Source organism: Homo sapiens, chromosome 11, assembly GCF_000001405.40.
Source record: "Homo sapiens chromosome 11, GRCh38.p14 Primary Assembly".
Classification (NCBI taxonomy): domain Eukaryota; kingdom Metazoa; phylum Chordata; class Mammalia; order Primates; family Hominidae; genus Homo; species Homo sapiens.
The window spans coordinates 64,574,402-64,589,367 of record NC_000011.10 but is presented as its reverse complement, the minus strand read 5'-3'; the positions used below and the strand labels follow the sequence as shown (position 1 = coordinate 64,589,367).

Genomic DNA, 14,966 nt, shown 5'->3' with positions numbered 1-14,966 from the left:
GTGATCTGCCTGCCTTGGCCTCCCAAAGTGGTGTGAGTTGCGGCACCCAGCCATGACCTGCATTCTTCTATTATGGTCCAGTTGGTCTTATTTCCAGTGAGCTCCTGGTAGTCTGGAACCCTTCTTTAGAGGCTCTTTGGAACTGATTTGGACAACAAATAAAGGTTCCATGGAGACTTGCTGAAGTGCATGGATGATTTTTTTAAAAATTTCATTTATTTTCTAATTATGAAATAATTTACACACTTCCTCAAAAATTCAGAACATATTGAAATGAAAATAAAGATCCCTCATATACTCATCAACCAGTGAGTTACACTACTGTTTACAGTTTGGTGTAAATATGTGCAGACTTTGTTTTAGTAACTGATATGTTTAGCTTCATCAGCTTGAGCTGCCAAATAAGCTTTACATTTCCTTTTGTAAAATCCAAAAGAAATACCTCTGCCTTTTAATTAGCGATTTTAACCTGTTCACATTTATTGTAATTATTGACATGTTTGGACTTACTGTATGTTTTCTTGTTTACCACATTTTCCCTTTAAATCTTGGTTTCCTTGTTCCTAATTTCTACTGAATCCATTAAGTTTTCTTGTTATATTCTTCTACTGTCTTGGTCTGTCAGTTGTACGTTTTATTTCTGTTACCCTTATATTTGAACACACAAACCAGGGGTTATTTGATACCATCTTCTCTCTTCAAACCTACCACCTTCTCTTCTATCCTCTCTCTCAATAGATGACCTTTTTTCTTATTTCACTAAAACAATAGAAGCCATCAGAAGCCAACAGTCTAATTCTCTCACCAGCTCACCTGCCTTGGTGCCCCCACATTCTGCCTTCCTTCCACCCAGTTTGGTTTCTCTCTCATCCATGCCAACCCCTCACTGTGTGCCTAGAGCCCACCCCCCTTTGCCTGCTCACATCTCTCTTTGGCATTTGTCTTTCCCTCGCTACTGGATAATTTCCACCAATGTACAAATATGCCATTTTTTTCTGTAGCCTTCCAAAAACTCCCCCTCCATTTGAGCCCCTCTTTCTTCTTAAGCGACTGCCCCACCTTTGCTTGTATTTACAACAAAATTCTATGAAAGTATTATTGACACTCATTTCCAGTTTCTGTCTTCCCATTTTTTTGTTTGTTTTTGGATTCATTCCCATCAAGGTTTTGCCCCTATCACTCTGCTGTCACCAATGACCTCCATGCTGCTAGATTCAATGACATTTTCAGTCCTCATCTTACTTGAGCCATCTGTCTCTGATCTCCATCTGAGAATACTTTCTTCCCTGGGCCTCCAGGACTCACTAGTTCTCAATCTTCTTGGTTGGGTTTTCCTCTTCTCCACACACTGTTAACATTGGAGGCCACTGAGCTCACTCCTTGGTCTTCTCTATATTCTCTATCATCTGGTCCATTCACATCTTTAGCCTGTACCTCTTCTTGGAATGCTAGATTTTGATCCAACTGCCTAATCTTAGGTGCTTAATAAACATCTCACACTTAGTGTGGCCAAAGCTGAGCTCTCCCAAAAAAATGCTTCTCATGCAGCTTTCTCCACTTTTTTTTTTTTAAGTTGAGTCAGAGTCTTGCTCTGTTGCCCAGGCTGGAGTGCAGTGGCGCCATCTTGGCCCATTGCAGTCTCCACTGCCCAGGTTCAAGCAATTCTCATGCCTCAGCCTCCTAAGTAGCTGGGTCTATAGGCATGTGCCACCATGCCCAGCTAATTTTTGTATTTTTAATATCGATGGGGTTTCACCATGTTGGCCAGGCTGGTCTCGAACTCCTGGCCTCAACTGATCTGCCCACCTCGGCCTCCCAAAGTACTGGGATTATAGGCATGAGCCACTGCACCCAGCCCCAAATCACCAGCATTTTAATTTCAGAATGTGTAATTTCCATTTCAGAATCCGTGTTTGGTTCTTCCTATAACTGCTTCTTCTTGTTTCCTAGTTTCCACTTCTTGTTTCATAGGTGGAATAATTTCCTTGATCTCTTAGTGGATATTACGAGTGTTTCTCTTGGGCCAGGCGTGGTGGCTCACGGCCGGAATCCCAGCACTTTGGGAGGCCGAGGCGAGTGGATCACTTGAGGTCAGGAGTTTGAGACCAGCCTGGCCAACATGGGGAAACCCTGCCTCTAGTAAAAATACAAAAATTAGCCAGAGGTGGTGGCACACACCTGTAATCCCAGCTACCAGGGTTGCTGAGGCAGGAGAATTGCTTGAATCCATGAGGCGGAGGTTGCAGTGGAGCCAAGATCACGCCACTGCACTCCAGCCTGGGTGACAGAGCAAGATTCTGTCTCAAAAAAAAAAAAAAAAAAAAAAGAAGAGTGTCTTTCTTCTTAATATCAATATTCATTTGTTGAGCTGAGTGTTGATAATGCACCAGCCACTGCTCTAGGCACAGGGATGCAGCGGTGAACAAACAAGATAATTCCCTGTTCTCATTGATATGTAGAAAGACATGCCAATGAGAGAGGAGAAACACATCAAGAAATAAATGAATATAGTGACAAGTAGTAATCATGCTGTGGAGAGAACAAGATAGCATAAGGGGCAGAGAGTAAGGATCATGTTGCCACTTTGGGTGGGGCAGTCAGGGAAGACTTCTCTGTGGAGGTGGCATTGAAAGAGACCCAAGTAGATGAGGGGACAAGACACACAGTTGACTGGGGAAAGAATATTGCAGGCAGAGGGAAGAGTATTATGCAAAGACCCTGGGGTGGGCATGTGATTTTATGCTCAAGAAGTAGGAAGGAGGCCAGTATGGTTGGGGAGAAGTGAGTGGGAAAAGTAGAGCAGTTTTGGGGCCAAAACATACACTTCCTTATAGGGTTTTGAGGAGAGAAGTGGCATGATCTGACTAATGTTTTTACAAATCTCCCTGGCTGCTGTGTGGAGAACAGACTGAAAATGGGACAAATATAGAAGAAGGGGTTCCCCCAGGAGGCTGTTGGGGTGGATCATGTGAGCAATGAGGGTCAGGGCTAGGGGATTAGGGCAGGTGGAGAGAAATGCTTGGGTTTGGGGCATATTGCTTTTCTTTGACTAAATACAGGGCCGAGGGTGAAGAAAAAGGATAAACTGATGATCAGGTGGGTGGTGGGTGGATGGTGGGCCATTTACAGAGAAGCAGAACACTCGGGGAGAAGCAAGTTTGATGGGAAAATAAATCTTTTTTTGTGTGATGATATTGACATGTCTATTAGCCATCCAGGTGGTGGCATCATGGAGCGACTTGGGAATAATTAGGGGATAAAAGGCATTTTAAGTCACAGGACTGGATAAGCTCACGTAGGGTGCAAGCTTTCATAGCAAAGAGATGACGTTTGTGATGGAGCCTTTGGTCTCTGATGTTGAGAGGTCAGTAAGAGGATGACCCAGCAAAAGAGCTGTGAAGGCAAAACCAGTGAGGCCTGGAAACCAGGACAGCAGGATGCCCCGGAAGCCAGAGTGAAAAGTATCTGACAGAGTCAATCAGCAATGTCACATCCTTGGCCGGGCGCGGTGGCTCACGCCTGTAATCCCAGCACTTTGGGAGGCTGAGGCAGGTGAATCACCTGAGGTCAGAAGTTCGAGACCAGCCTGGCCAACATGGTGAAACCCTGTCTCTACTAAAAATACAAAAAATTAGCCAGGCATGGTGGCACATGCCTGTAATCCCAGCTACTCAGGAGGCTGAGGCAGGAGAATTTCTTGGACCTGGGAGGCAGACGTTGTGGTGAGCCGAGATCACGTCATTGCACTCCAGCCTGGGCAACAAGAGTGAAACTCCATCTCAAAAACAAGGAAACAAAAAAGTCTCATCCTGCTGAGAGGTGGGGTGGGATAAGGTCTAGAATTAGCCCCTGGATTTGGCAGCATGGACTTCTCTGAGGGCCCTGGCTTGAGGGTTTACCGTGGAGGGGTGAGGTGAAGTGCACAGAGGCACAGGACTGTGAGAGTGCTGGAGGCAGGGAAGTGAAGTCGGTGAAGACAGGCAGCTCACCTACGGAGTTTCACTCTAAGGAGAAGCAGGAAAATGGGGATGTGGTTCGCATTAATTAGAGTAACGCTGGCTGCTGTGGCAAGCCAACCTCGAAATGTATAGCAGCTCAAACACAGTAGAAGTTTATTTATTGATTGTGTAAAGTCCCAAATGGCTGTTGCTGACTGTGGGCAGCTCTCCTCCAAGAGGTGTCTGGGAACGCAGGCTCTCCCCATCTCGCAGCTCTGTCCTTGGCATCCACGCTGGCTGTGCTCGTGTGCATCCAGCCACAGAGGGGAAGAGAGGATGAAGCATCCACCTGCGTTTACAAATTTTTTTTATTATTATTTTTTTGAGATGGAGTCTTGCCCTGTCACCAGTGAGCAATCTCAGCTCACTGCAACTTCCGCCTCCCAGGTTCAAGTGATTTTCCTGCCTCAGCCTCTGGAGTAGCTGGGATTACAGGTGCGCATCACCACGCCCGGCTAATTTTTGTATTTTTAGTAGAGACGGGTTTTTGCCATGTTGGCCAGGCTGATCCCAGACTCCTGACCTCAAGTGATCCACCTGCTTCAGCCTCCCAAAGTGCTGGGATTACAGGTGTGAGCCACTGCGCCCAGCCTGCATTCACCTGCATTTTGACCATCTTAGCCCAGAAGTGACCCACATTTATTCCATTCACATCCCACTGCTGAGAACTGGTGACAAGGCAGAAGGTGGGGAGGGACGCAGTTCCTGGCTAGGCTGCTGCTATCAGGCCACATCTCAACACTGGAATGGGGAAGCGTGGGTGCTGGGGGGCAGTTGGTCATCTCTGCTGTGGGAGCTCACACAATTGTGTTATGAAGCCTTGTTTTCAAGCAGAGGGGTTATTACAACTCACTTGTATGCTGATGGATCGCATGTTAGAAAGGGAAACCTTGATGTTGTTGGCAGGAGGGATATTTGAGCAGAGTCCTTGAGACTGTGAGAGGGGACGGAACCCAGAGCACAGTGGCCCCAGGAGTTCATTGCCAGCTGCAGGAGATGAGGGTGATCGTGCAGACACAAACGAAGCTCTGTGTTGGGAGGACAAGAGGGGCCAGTGAAATACGAAGCAAGGTAGACAGTTGAGCTTAGGGAGGTGTGGCAAGTTTGAAGACAGAGAGGCGGGAGAGCCGATGGACCAGAGTGGGATGGTTGCTGCTGGTGCCCCTCGGTGGGGTCTGTGATGAGATTTTGCCTCCTCTGCGGGGGGCAGGCGTGGTGTGGACAGAGTTAGGTTTGGGCATGGAGGAGCCTGGCCAGGCAGCAAAGGGGGAGAGAGATGGGGCCGCTGCATGGTGCGCATGTGCAAGGGCATGGCTACAAGATGTTCCCCGGAGGAGTCCTGAGCTAGTGGCTAAAGGGACGCGAGGCCACTGGGACAGTGCAGGAGGAGGGGCGCTGAGTCTTACAGCCCACAGGATGGAAGTACTGTTACAGTCTAGGTCTGGAGGGGAATCCAGGTGGAGAGCTGGGACACGGGCAGCTACTGGTCTAGCGATGAGCACTAGACCACAGGGGTGAGTGGCGGGTGGAGGATAAGATTTTGGGAGGGGGAAGGGTCAAGGAGAGTGGAGGCAATGACAGCGAATTCAATGAAGGGAGACCCCATGGTCGTGAGGCCTCAACCCTGTCCTGGGCCTGCCTTGTTACAGGAGAAATGGCACAGGCACGTGGTTTGTCAACGTATTCTTTTTTTTTTGGACCTGGGGTTGCGCGGTGGGCATCCTTCTGGCTGGTTCGTGCAGCAGGTTTTTTGTGATTCCTCCCAGCCCCCAATGTCCTGTGGTGACAGCAGCTGCCTCTGGTCCCAGGCCAGGCAGGAGAAAGGGCAGGCAGGAGAGCTTACTGTCCGTGACTCAGCAGGGCTGGCCGAATCCAGGCGGGCGGCTGAAGGAGGCAGCAGCCAAAGCTGGCTGGGCTTGCTCAGGGCCTGACAGGGCTCTGTGCCCCTCGAGGTTGCCTGGGGCTTGGAAACTATTACTGCAGGATCAGAGCCTCTGCTCTCCTCCCAGCCTTTGTCTCTGTGGGCTGGGTTCTCGGAGGTAGAAGTGCGCTCCTGGGAGAAGCTCTGTGTGGACCCTTTGAAGGATCTGCGAGCCTCTAGCTTGTCACCCCTTGCTTAGAGTCTGAGATCACTCCCTAGTGCCTTGGAGAGGAGGCCGAGGCCATGGGAACCCTCTTTTCTCCCTTCGGCTGCTTCCATCACGTGGCCTCGGCCCTGCCCACACAGGCACTGACTCTCTTCTGAAGAGGTCCTGCACTCCTGTCTTCGCTCCTTTGCTGTTTCTTCCACCTGAATGCTGTGGCCACCGTCTCCGCCCGTCCAGGCCCATCCCTGTCTCCTCGTTTCCCAATCCCTGAAGCCCTCCAGAACGGTGCCCACCACCTGGAGGTGCTTTGCGTGAGGTGATGGGCTGCAGGTTTTCTAAGGGCCAGGTCCGAGTCATCGTGCCTCTAACCGTGCCCAGCACAGGACTGGCACACAGGGTAGGGCCCAGCCAGGGCTGCAGAGAGGCGTGGCCATCTTCACAGTTTCAGTTTAAATCCAGGTCTTCTGGGCCTTGATTTCCTCATCTGTGGAAAGGGCATCATGCTCTCCACTCTACGAGGTGGTCTTTAGGGCAAGATGTCCTGGTTCTCTGAGGGTCCTCCTCCAGCTCTCGGAGTGTTTACGTGAGGATAATGAGGGCCCCCAGGATAATGAGGGCCCCCAACCCATGTTAGGCTTGGGACTGCCAGCTCCTCCAAAGCCTCTGAAGGTCTGCTCTCCTGGGCATTGCTTGCTCCAAACTGCTGTTTGGAATAGCCTGGGCCACTGCCTTTCTGAAAAATGGCAGTGGCTTTGCTACTCGTCACTACCAAATGTGCCCCAAACGCGGCCACAGGCTCAACTTGAAATTCCCCACAGAACAACTGGGAAATGCCCCAGTGCTTATGACTGTGATGATGATGGTGATGATAGGAATGACAATGATGGTGGCGCTGCTGCTGATGGTGGTGGTGGTGACTGAGATGGTGCTGGTGGTGACTGAGATGGTGGTGCTGGTGGTGACTGAGATGGTGGTGATGGTGGTGACTGAGATGGTGATGGTGGTGATTGAGATGGTTGTGGGATGATTGAGATGGTGGTGGTGGTGGTGATTGAGATGGTGGTGATTGAGATGATGGTGGTGATGGTGGTGATTGAGATGGTGGTGATTGAGATGATGGTGGTGATGGTGGTGATTGAGATGGTGGTGATGATTGAGATGGTGGTGATGATTGAGATGGTGGTGATGGTGGTGGTGGTGATTGGGATGATGGTACTGGTGGTGATTGAGATGGTGATGGTGATGACTGAGGTGATGATAATTGAGATGGTGATGATGATGATTAAGAAGGTGCTGATTGAAATGGTGGTGGTGGTGACTGAGATGGTGGTGGTGGTGGTGGTGGTGATGATTGAGATGATGATGGTGGTGATTGAGATGGTGATGCTGCTGGTGACGGAGCGGTAAGGGGGAGTGGTGGTGAGGGGGTCCTAGAGGGAGACTCAAATCAATCCTGTCCTAGTGCCCTCAGAGCCCAGGAAGAGCTCCCACACTTTCCACCCTCCAGCTTGGCCTCCTCTCCCGCTGGACCAGCTTCTAGCTTTGCGCTTGTGTACCCCAAAGCCCAGCAAAAGCTTTTCCCAGAAGGTCAGCCTCCCCATGGGCTGTCACCCCAGGAACAGCCATTTCCACCTCTGCTTCACATGTGTGGCCCTAGCCCCGTCCCCAACAGCACTCGCTCAACAGCCTCTCCCTGCCTCCCTGCACCCTTCTAGAGCATTCACAGACATCACTTGAATAAAAATACATTTTCCTCTGGCCTGAAGGCTGCTGATCCCTGGGAGCAGGCGATGGCCGGCCACCTGTGTGTCCCGCCGCCCACACGGAGGCTGCAATGTGGGGAGGCAGCCACGGGCTGCTGGCTCGGCACCAGCTCAAGAAGGTGGCCAGGGCCAGGGGAGCACACTCGTGGCTTTAATTTGTCCCTGATGCGAGCTGCCACAGCCCTAACCGCAGGCCCCACACTGCGCAGACCCCTTCTCTCCAGCCCCTACTGGAGCCTCCGCCTGGGGGGTTCCTCTGGCTCATTGAGCAAATCTGCCTAAGTAGGCCAAGGAGGGCGCAGGGCAGCATGGCTCAGCTGCCCTGCCCTTTCATGTGCCTGGCGGCACCTGTGAGCCTGGCCTTCCTGCTCCAAAGGGACTTTGCTCTTCTTGTTGTGTCAAAAAGATGTTTTATGTTAAAATTCAACAAAGAGATGTTAACCAGACGTCGGAACCAGGCTCGTCAAAATGGGAGCTGCTCAAACAGGTTGAACTTTGCACTGTTCTGTGTTTTTGGAGGGTCTTGCCCATAGCCAGCATTTTCTGGCTGGCACATTTTAACAAGGCTGGGTACAAATGCTTCCCTCTGAGCCATTCCTCTGGAGCCTGTGCCCAGGGCCCCCCTTCCTGTGGGCTCCCACGATTCTCGGCTTCTACCTTATGATTGCAGCATCTTTATTGGAGAAGTTTCATGCTGGTTGAGCTGCATTCTCAAGAATACCCGTCTTCTAGTAGAGAGCTGTCTCTTTTTGACTTTGTGAGTTGCAGCCTATTGTTCAGAGGAGTGATTTTAAGTGGATACAAGGACAAGTCTAGCTGTGGGGAGGGCAGGGGAAGGCATGATGTGGATTTTGGCAACATTCCTCTCATCTCATCGGAAAACAGTGTGGGATTTGGCCGGCCGTGTGCAAACACACTGTGCTAGCAGGAGCCTTCTTTCCTGCTTCTGTGGATGCAGGAGCCTCACAGAGTGAGCTCAGAGCAGCCAGTGCTGGCCAGGGCTTCAACAGACCCCGCAGACCCCCTAAACGAGAGGCAGTGTGGTCCAATGGTTACATGCACAGACTCTGGGCTCAGGCTGCGTGGATTTGAATCTCTGCTCTACCCAAGCTGTGTGGCCTTGGGAAAGTTCTTAACCCCTTTGTGCCTCCGTTTCCTCCTCTGTAAAATGGTGGTGCTGATAGTTCTGATTTCATCAGGCTCTTGAGAAGACTAAACGAGTTTCTACAAATCACCTAGAATAGTCCCCGGAGTGCAGTGAATGTTTTATTCGTATTGCTGTTGTTATTATGAATGATTTTTGACAAAGAGGACTGTGGGAAACACGTGGAAGCTGCCAGAGACTGAACTTCGAGAAGGACCCATGGAGAGCCAGGTCACCCCAGGGTTAGATCAGGCAGGCAGAGATATCATTTGAAAGACAAGGCACCAGGGCCAGGCGCCTGTAATCCCAGCACTTAGGGAGGCTGAGACAGGTGGATCACCTGAGGTCGGGAGTTCGAGACCAGCCTGACCAACATGGAGAAACCCCGTCTCTACTAAAAATACAAAATTAGCCGGGCATGGTGGCGCATGCCTGTAACCCCAGCTACTCGAGAGGCCGAGAGGCAGGAGAATCGCTTGAATCCAGGAGGCACAGGTTGCGGTGAGCCGAGATCGCACCATTGCACTCCAGCCTGGGCAACAAGAGCGAAACTCTTGTCTCAAAAAAAGGAAAAGAAAAAGAAAAAGAAAAAAAAAGACAAGGCACCAAACTGTACACAGTATCATGAGGCTGCTGAAAACCCGGGGTGAGATGTTCATCTTTTCACCTATGGCTAATGTGTGCTTGGAGTTTTAACAAAGACCTCTCATTTTTTTCTAAAAAGAACACCCGTATCACAGATGTCAGGAGCACTGGACCTTCGGGAACTAAATACAATCGGCTCACTCTCCATTTATGCTTTTGAGCAAAGTTCAGGAGGGTTTGGGGCTGAGGAAGCTCTGTGTTCCTGGTTACTTTGTGCCCCTGCTAGAGTCGTCCTCTGCCATGGGGGCTTGTGGCCCTTCCTATGTCTCTATCCTGGAGGGATTCGTATCCTTGAAACATGAATGGCAGTCCCCAGCTTTTACACACAGACACACACATGTACACATAGAGACACACAGGCAGGTGGGCACATGTGTGGGCTCATGCACACACACAGCAGGCAGGCACACACACGAGCACACACACGCATGCACCGTCCACCTGAGTTCTCGGGGTTTGAGGAGATGGAGGGCGAGTTCGCCTTGCAGCCATGAAAACTGCTTGTGGCTAGACAGATAATGGACTGGACCATCCTTCCTGATGGATGCCCTGGGCCTCTGTTTACCACGCAGCTCCTCTCTACCCCTTTCTTCTCTGTTTTCTTTTTTTTTTTTGAGACGGAGTTTTGCTCTGTCACCCAGGCTGGAGTGCAGTGGCGTGATCTCAGCCCACTGCAAGCTCCACCTCCTGGGTTCACACCATTCTCCTGAGTAGCTGGGACTGTAGGTGCCCACCACCATGCCCGGCTAATTATTTTGTATTTTTAGTATGGGGTTTCACCGTGTTAGCCAGGATGGTCTCGATCTCCTGACCTTGGGATCTGCCCGCCTTGGCCTCCCAAAGTGCTGGGATTACAGGCGTGAGCCACCGCACTCGGCCTCTTCTCTGCTTTCTCTGGTGGTCTGTTAGTTCCAACCCAGGATCATCCTGTTCTGCCTCTTGGGGCTATTTCTCCTGAAAAAAAAAAAAAACAAAAAACAGGTGTCCTTAGGGTCTCACCTTCCTTCCAGTAGCCTAGCCAAGGGATTTTCCTAAGCCAACACAGTTTTATCCCTGAGAAAATTCAGTTCTTAGCTGTTAAGATCACATATACTCTCTATAACTGACTGGAAAAGCAGCGATTCTCCTTTAGGCACCTTCCTGGGGACCCAGATGGGGAGGTGGCCCCACTAGGCTCCACCAGGGCCACCACTACTCAAGCAGCACAGCTTGCCACAGGCTGACTCCCGGGAGGATATACATAGGTGGCTCCAGTGGGTGCCCCTGCCCTGTGCCAGGCCCAGTCCCCCACGCTGCAGTGGTAGAATGTTTGGGTTGTGACTGACAGGGCCCCAGGTCATACAAAGTTAGTGGGAGGGGCTCCCTGGAAGCTCAGGGCCTCTGGTCTGTGGGGTCTCCTGGGGACCTGTGGCTCTTCCGCCCTGTCCTTCCTCTAGCTCTTGCTTGTTTCTCCCTGTTGCTTTCATTTTTGCTACAGGTCTGTTTCTCCACAAAGCAGAGAGCATGGCCGACAGCCCAAATGCCAATTCCTGCTGCTCTACCCTGAGAGAGGGACTGATATTCTTTCTTCATTTTGGCTACAAGTGGCCCAGAGAGGGCTCTGGTGGCCCAGTGAGGGCACATGCAGCCTCCTGGACCCAAAGAACACAGCGACACCCGTGATGACCTGGGAAGGGAAGGGCCTGGGCAGGGAAGGTCACCTGAGGTCCCTGGGACCCCTGTCCAGCATCCCCTTTTCTATCTCCTGCTTTATGATGTCTGTGCCTGGGGGAGGGTTATTTGTGGATGAGTGTGGATTCCTGGAAGCTCTTGGCCACACTCTAACCTGGGAGGTGGGACTCAAGCCTGTCCCTCATGGCCCTGAGGAAGGGGTAGAGCTTTTAGCAGACACAGGCAAGGCAATGAAAACATAACTGAATGAATAGTCGCACACTCATTTACAACTTTCTTGAAGATTTTGGATAAAATTTCTATTATTTCTTGCTTAAATATTTGTCAGAATTTATCAGCAAAGCCATCAAGGCCTGGAATGTTCTCTGTGGGAATATTTTAAAATGCTGTCTTTGACCTCTTCACTCTCTTCTGTCCCATTTATTCATTCACCCACCCACCCATTCATCCAGCTACCCATTCATTCATCAACCCACCCATCTACCCATCCATCCCATCCATCCACCTGTCCATTAGTCCATCCATCCATCCGTCTGTCCATCCATCCACCCACCTATCCATCCATTCATTCATCCAGCCACCCCTCCATTCATCCATCTACCCATCGATTCATCCATCCATCTGTCCATCCATCCATCCATCCATCCATCCGTTCATTCATCCACCCACCCATCCATTCATCCATCTACCCATCCATTCATCAACCCAGCCATCTACCCACCCATCCATCCATTCGTTCATCCATCCAACCACCAAACCATCCATCCATCTATCCATCCATCCATCCATCCATCCATCCGTCCACCCGCCCATCCATCTATCTATCCATCTATCCAGTAAACAGTTATTAAAAAGATACCAGATTCAGGCCCTGGAGCAGAGCTTTGGGGACACTGTGGAGAAGATGGTGAAATTTTCCTGCCTGGGTCGTATGGTGCTGGCAGGAGGACAGGCTGACTGGCCACTGCCATTGGGAAGACAGACTCTATAAGGATCATGAACAAAATCAAGAGGTCATAGAATAACAGGAAGAGATGTGGAGGGCCACCCAGCCAGTGATCAGGAGGGAACAGTTGCTCCCACCTGAGGCTGGGAATGGAGGTGTATACAGTTGGGGAGCAGCACGTGCAAGGTCCCCATGATGGGCAAGGACCGGTCAGGTTCATGGAACCATGAGGGGAATGAGGATGGGGCTGGGTTGGGGGAGGCAAGCAGGTGTGAGATAAGGCTGGTCACACAGGGCCCCAGGGCATCTCAGAAGGACTGAGGGTTGAACCCATGATTAGACTGGGGTTACAGGTTTTCAAGAAGATCAGCGAGCTGGCAGGGCCCACTCATCACATCATTTTGGGGAGTGCATGCGCAGGTGCACGAACATCTAACCAGTATCACCAGTGATATTGGAAAGGGTGGTGTTGCCAGGTTTCTTGGGGACTATCACAAATGTCATCACTTTTATTGTGGGCTTCTGGTTCTCTGACAACCCATACCTGCCCCTGAGCAGCCAAATGTGGATGGAAAAAATACACACACAGCCCAGCTGACAGGCCACTCTAAGTTCATGGCCAGACTTGGGTGGGCCCTCCGTGTGCCTGGCAGCCTGACTCTGTTTCCCCATCTGCTCCACTGCATGGCCTGTTCCATGTCCTGCACAGCTCAACCACTAATGGGGATGTGTCTCAAACACATAATATTGGTTTGGAAGAAGCAAGTCACAGAAGACCACGGAATCCCACGCTGGTGTCACCAAACAGAATGTTGCTGGAGGATATATAAGTAGGTGGCACGCTTATGAGGAAAACAAGATAATTCGGGATAGCAGTTACCTCGGGTGGGAGGATTTGACTGGGGAGGGCCACTCAGGGGCCATCAAGCACCCGTGAGGCTGTGCTTCTCCAGCTAGGTCATGGGAACTTGGGATTTGTTTGATGATAATTTGTAAATTTGATTATACATTTGAATGTATAAGTTTTTTTTTTTTTTTTTTTGTTTTTTTGGCAGAGTCTCGCTCTGTCTCCCAGGTTGGACTGCTTGGCATGATCTCAGCTCACCGCAATCTCCTTCTTCCATGTTCAAGCAATTCTCCTGCCTTGGCCTCCCAACTCGGAGTGGTTGGGATTACAGGCATCCACCACCACACCCAGCTAATTTTTTGTAGTTTTAGTAGAGACAGGGTTTCACCATGTTGGCCAGGCTGGTCTCGAACTCCTGACCTCAGGTGATCCACCATCCTGGGCCTCCCAAAGTGCTGGGATTACTTACAGGCGTGAGCCAGCGCACCCGGCCTTGTTGTGGTTTTAATTTGCATTTTCCTAGTGATGTCGATCATCTTTTCTTGGGCTTATTGGCTACCTATGTATCCTCTCTGGCGATGCATCTGTTCAAACCTTTTGCCTTTTACAATTGGACTGTCATTTGATTTGTGCGTTGTAAATGTTCTTTACATTTTCTAGGTAGAAGTCCTTTGTTAGATACAGATTTTTCCAATATTTTCTCCAAGTTCGTGGCTTGCCTTTTCATTTTGTAACAGTGTCTTTTGGAAAGCAAAAGTTTTTAGTGTTTATGAAGTCCAATATGTTTTTTTATAGTTCATATTTTTGAGTACTAGTTAAGAAATCTTTGCCAAACCCAAAGTTGCCAAGATTTTCTCCTGTTTTCTTCAAAAAATTTTATAATTTTAGCTCTTATATTTAGGTCTATGATCCAGTTAAAGTTAATTTTTGGAAATGGTGTGAGTTAGGGTTGAGTTTCTCCCTTCCCCGCTGCCGTCTTTCCTTTCTTCCTTTCTTCTTTCCCTCCCTCCTTGCCTCATTTTCCCTCTTTCTTTCTTTGTTTATATATGGTTATCCAATTGTTCCAGAATCATCTGCAGAAAAGATTATCCTTTCCTCATTTTAATTGATTTGGCACCTTGATTGAAAATCTATTAAATTTAAACCATAAATGCATGGCTCTATTCTGAACTTTTGATTGTATTATATTAAAAAAAAGTTCTCCAACTTAGTCCTTTTCCAAAATTGTGTTGGATAATTTAGGCCCTTTGCATTTTCATATAAATGTTAGGGTGAGCTTGTCAATTTATCTAAAGCAAATCTGCTGGCATTTTGACTGGGATTGCATTGAATCTAAACACTACGTTGTGGAGAATTGACATCTTGATAATATCCAGTCTTTCAATCCATGAACAAGATGTGTCTATGTATTTAGCCCTTTAATTCCTCTCAGTTCTGTAATTTCCAGTTCATGGGTCTTGTCTTTCTTTTATTGAATTTTTCCCTGGGTGTCACATTTTTTCCATGCTGTTATTAAACGGTATCGTGTTAAAATGTTCAATTTCTGGTAGTCACTTGTATACAGAAATACAATAGGTGTTTGTATATTGACCTTACTAAACTCATTTATTAGTTCCAGTAGTATTTTTGTTGATTCCTTAGGATTTTCTACATAGACAATTATGTCATCTGCAAATAAAGAGAGTTTCGTGTCTTCCTTTCCAATGTGTATGCCTTTTACTTATTTTGCTCACCTTATCTCACTGACTAGGAGCAATGTTGAATACAAACTGTGAGAGTGGATGTCCTAGCCTCATTCCTGATCGGAAGGGGAAAGCAGCCTTTACCATAAGCATGATGGCACCTCTGGGATAACAGGGTGCCCA

General features: G+C 49.2%; 3 annotated features.

Moving 5' to 3' along the window:
* Positions 4,618-4,803: a silencer, noted in NCBI's record as "fragment chr11:64352037-64352222 (GRCh37/hg19 assembly coordinates)". NCBI's record gives its function as "represses an EF-1alpha promoter that drives an FKBP-Casp9 reporter gene in an ReSE screen in HepG2 liver carcinoma cells {active_cell/tissue: HepG2}" and the evidence as "EXISTENCE:reporter gene assay evidence [ECO:0000049][PMID:32094911]".
* Positions 5,025-5,907: an enhancer, noted in NCBI's record as "H3K27ac-H3K4me1 hESC enhancer chr11:64350933-64351815 (GRCh37/hg19 assembly coordinates)". NCBI's record gives its function as "activates a minimal SCP1, AML or CMV promoter by ChIP-STARR-seq in naive H9 embryonic stem cells {active_cell/tissue: H9 hESC(naive)}" and the evidence as "EXISTENCE:reporter gene assay evidence [ECO:0000049][PMID:30033119]".
* Positions 5,908-6,791: an enhancer, noted in NCBI's record as "H3K27ac-H3K4me1 hESC enhancer chr11:64350049-64350932 (GRCh37/hg19 assembly coordinates)". NCBI's record gives its function as "activates a minimal SCP1, AML or CMV promoter by ChIP-STARR-seq in naive H9 embryonic stem cells {active_cell/tissue: H9 hESC(naive)}" and the evidence as "EXISTENCE:reporter gene assay evidence [ECO:0000049][PMID:30033119]".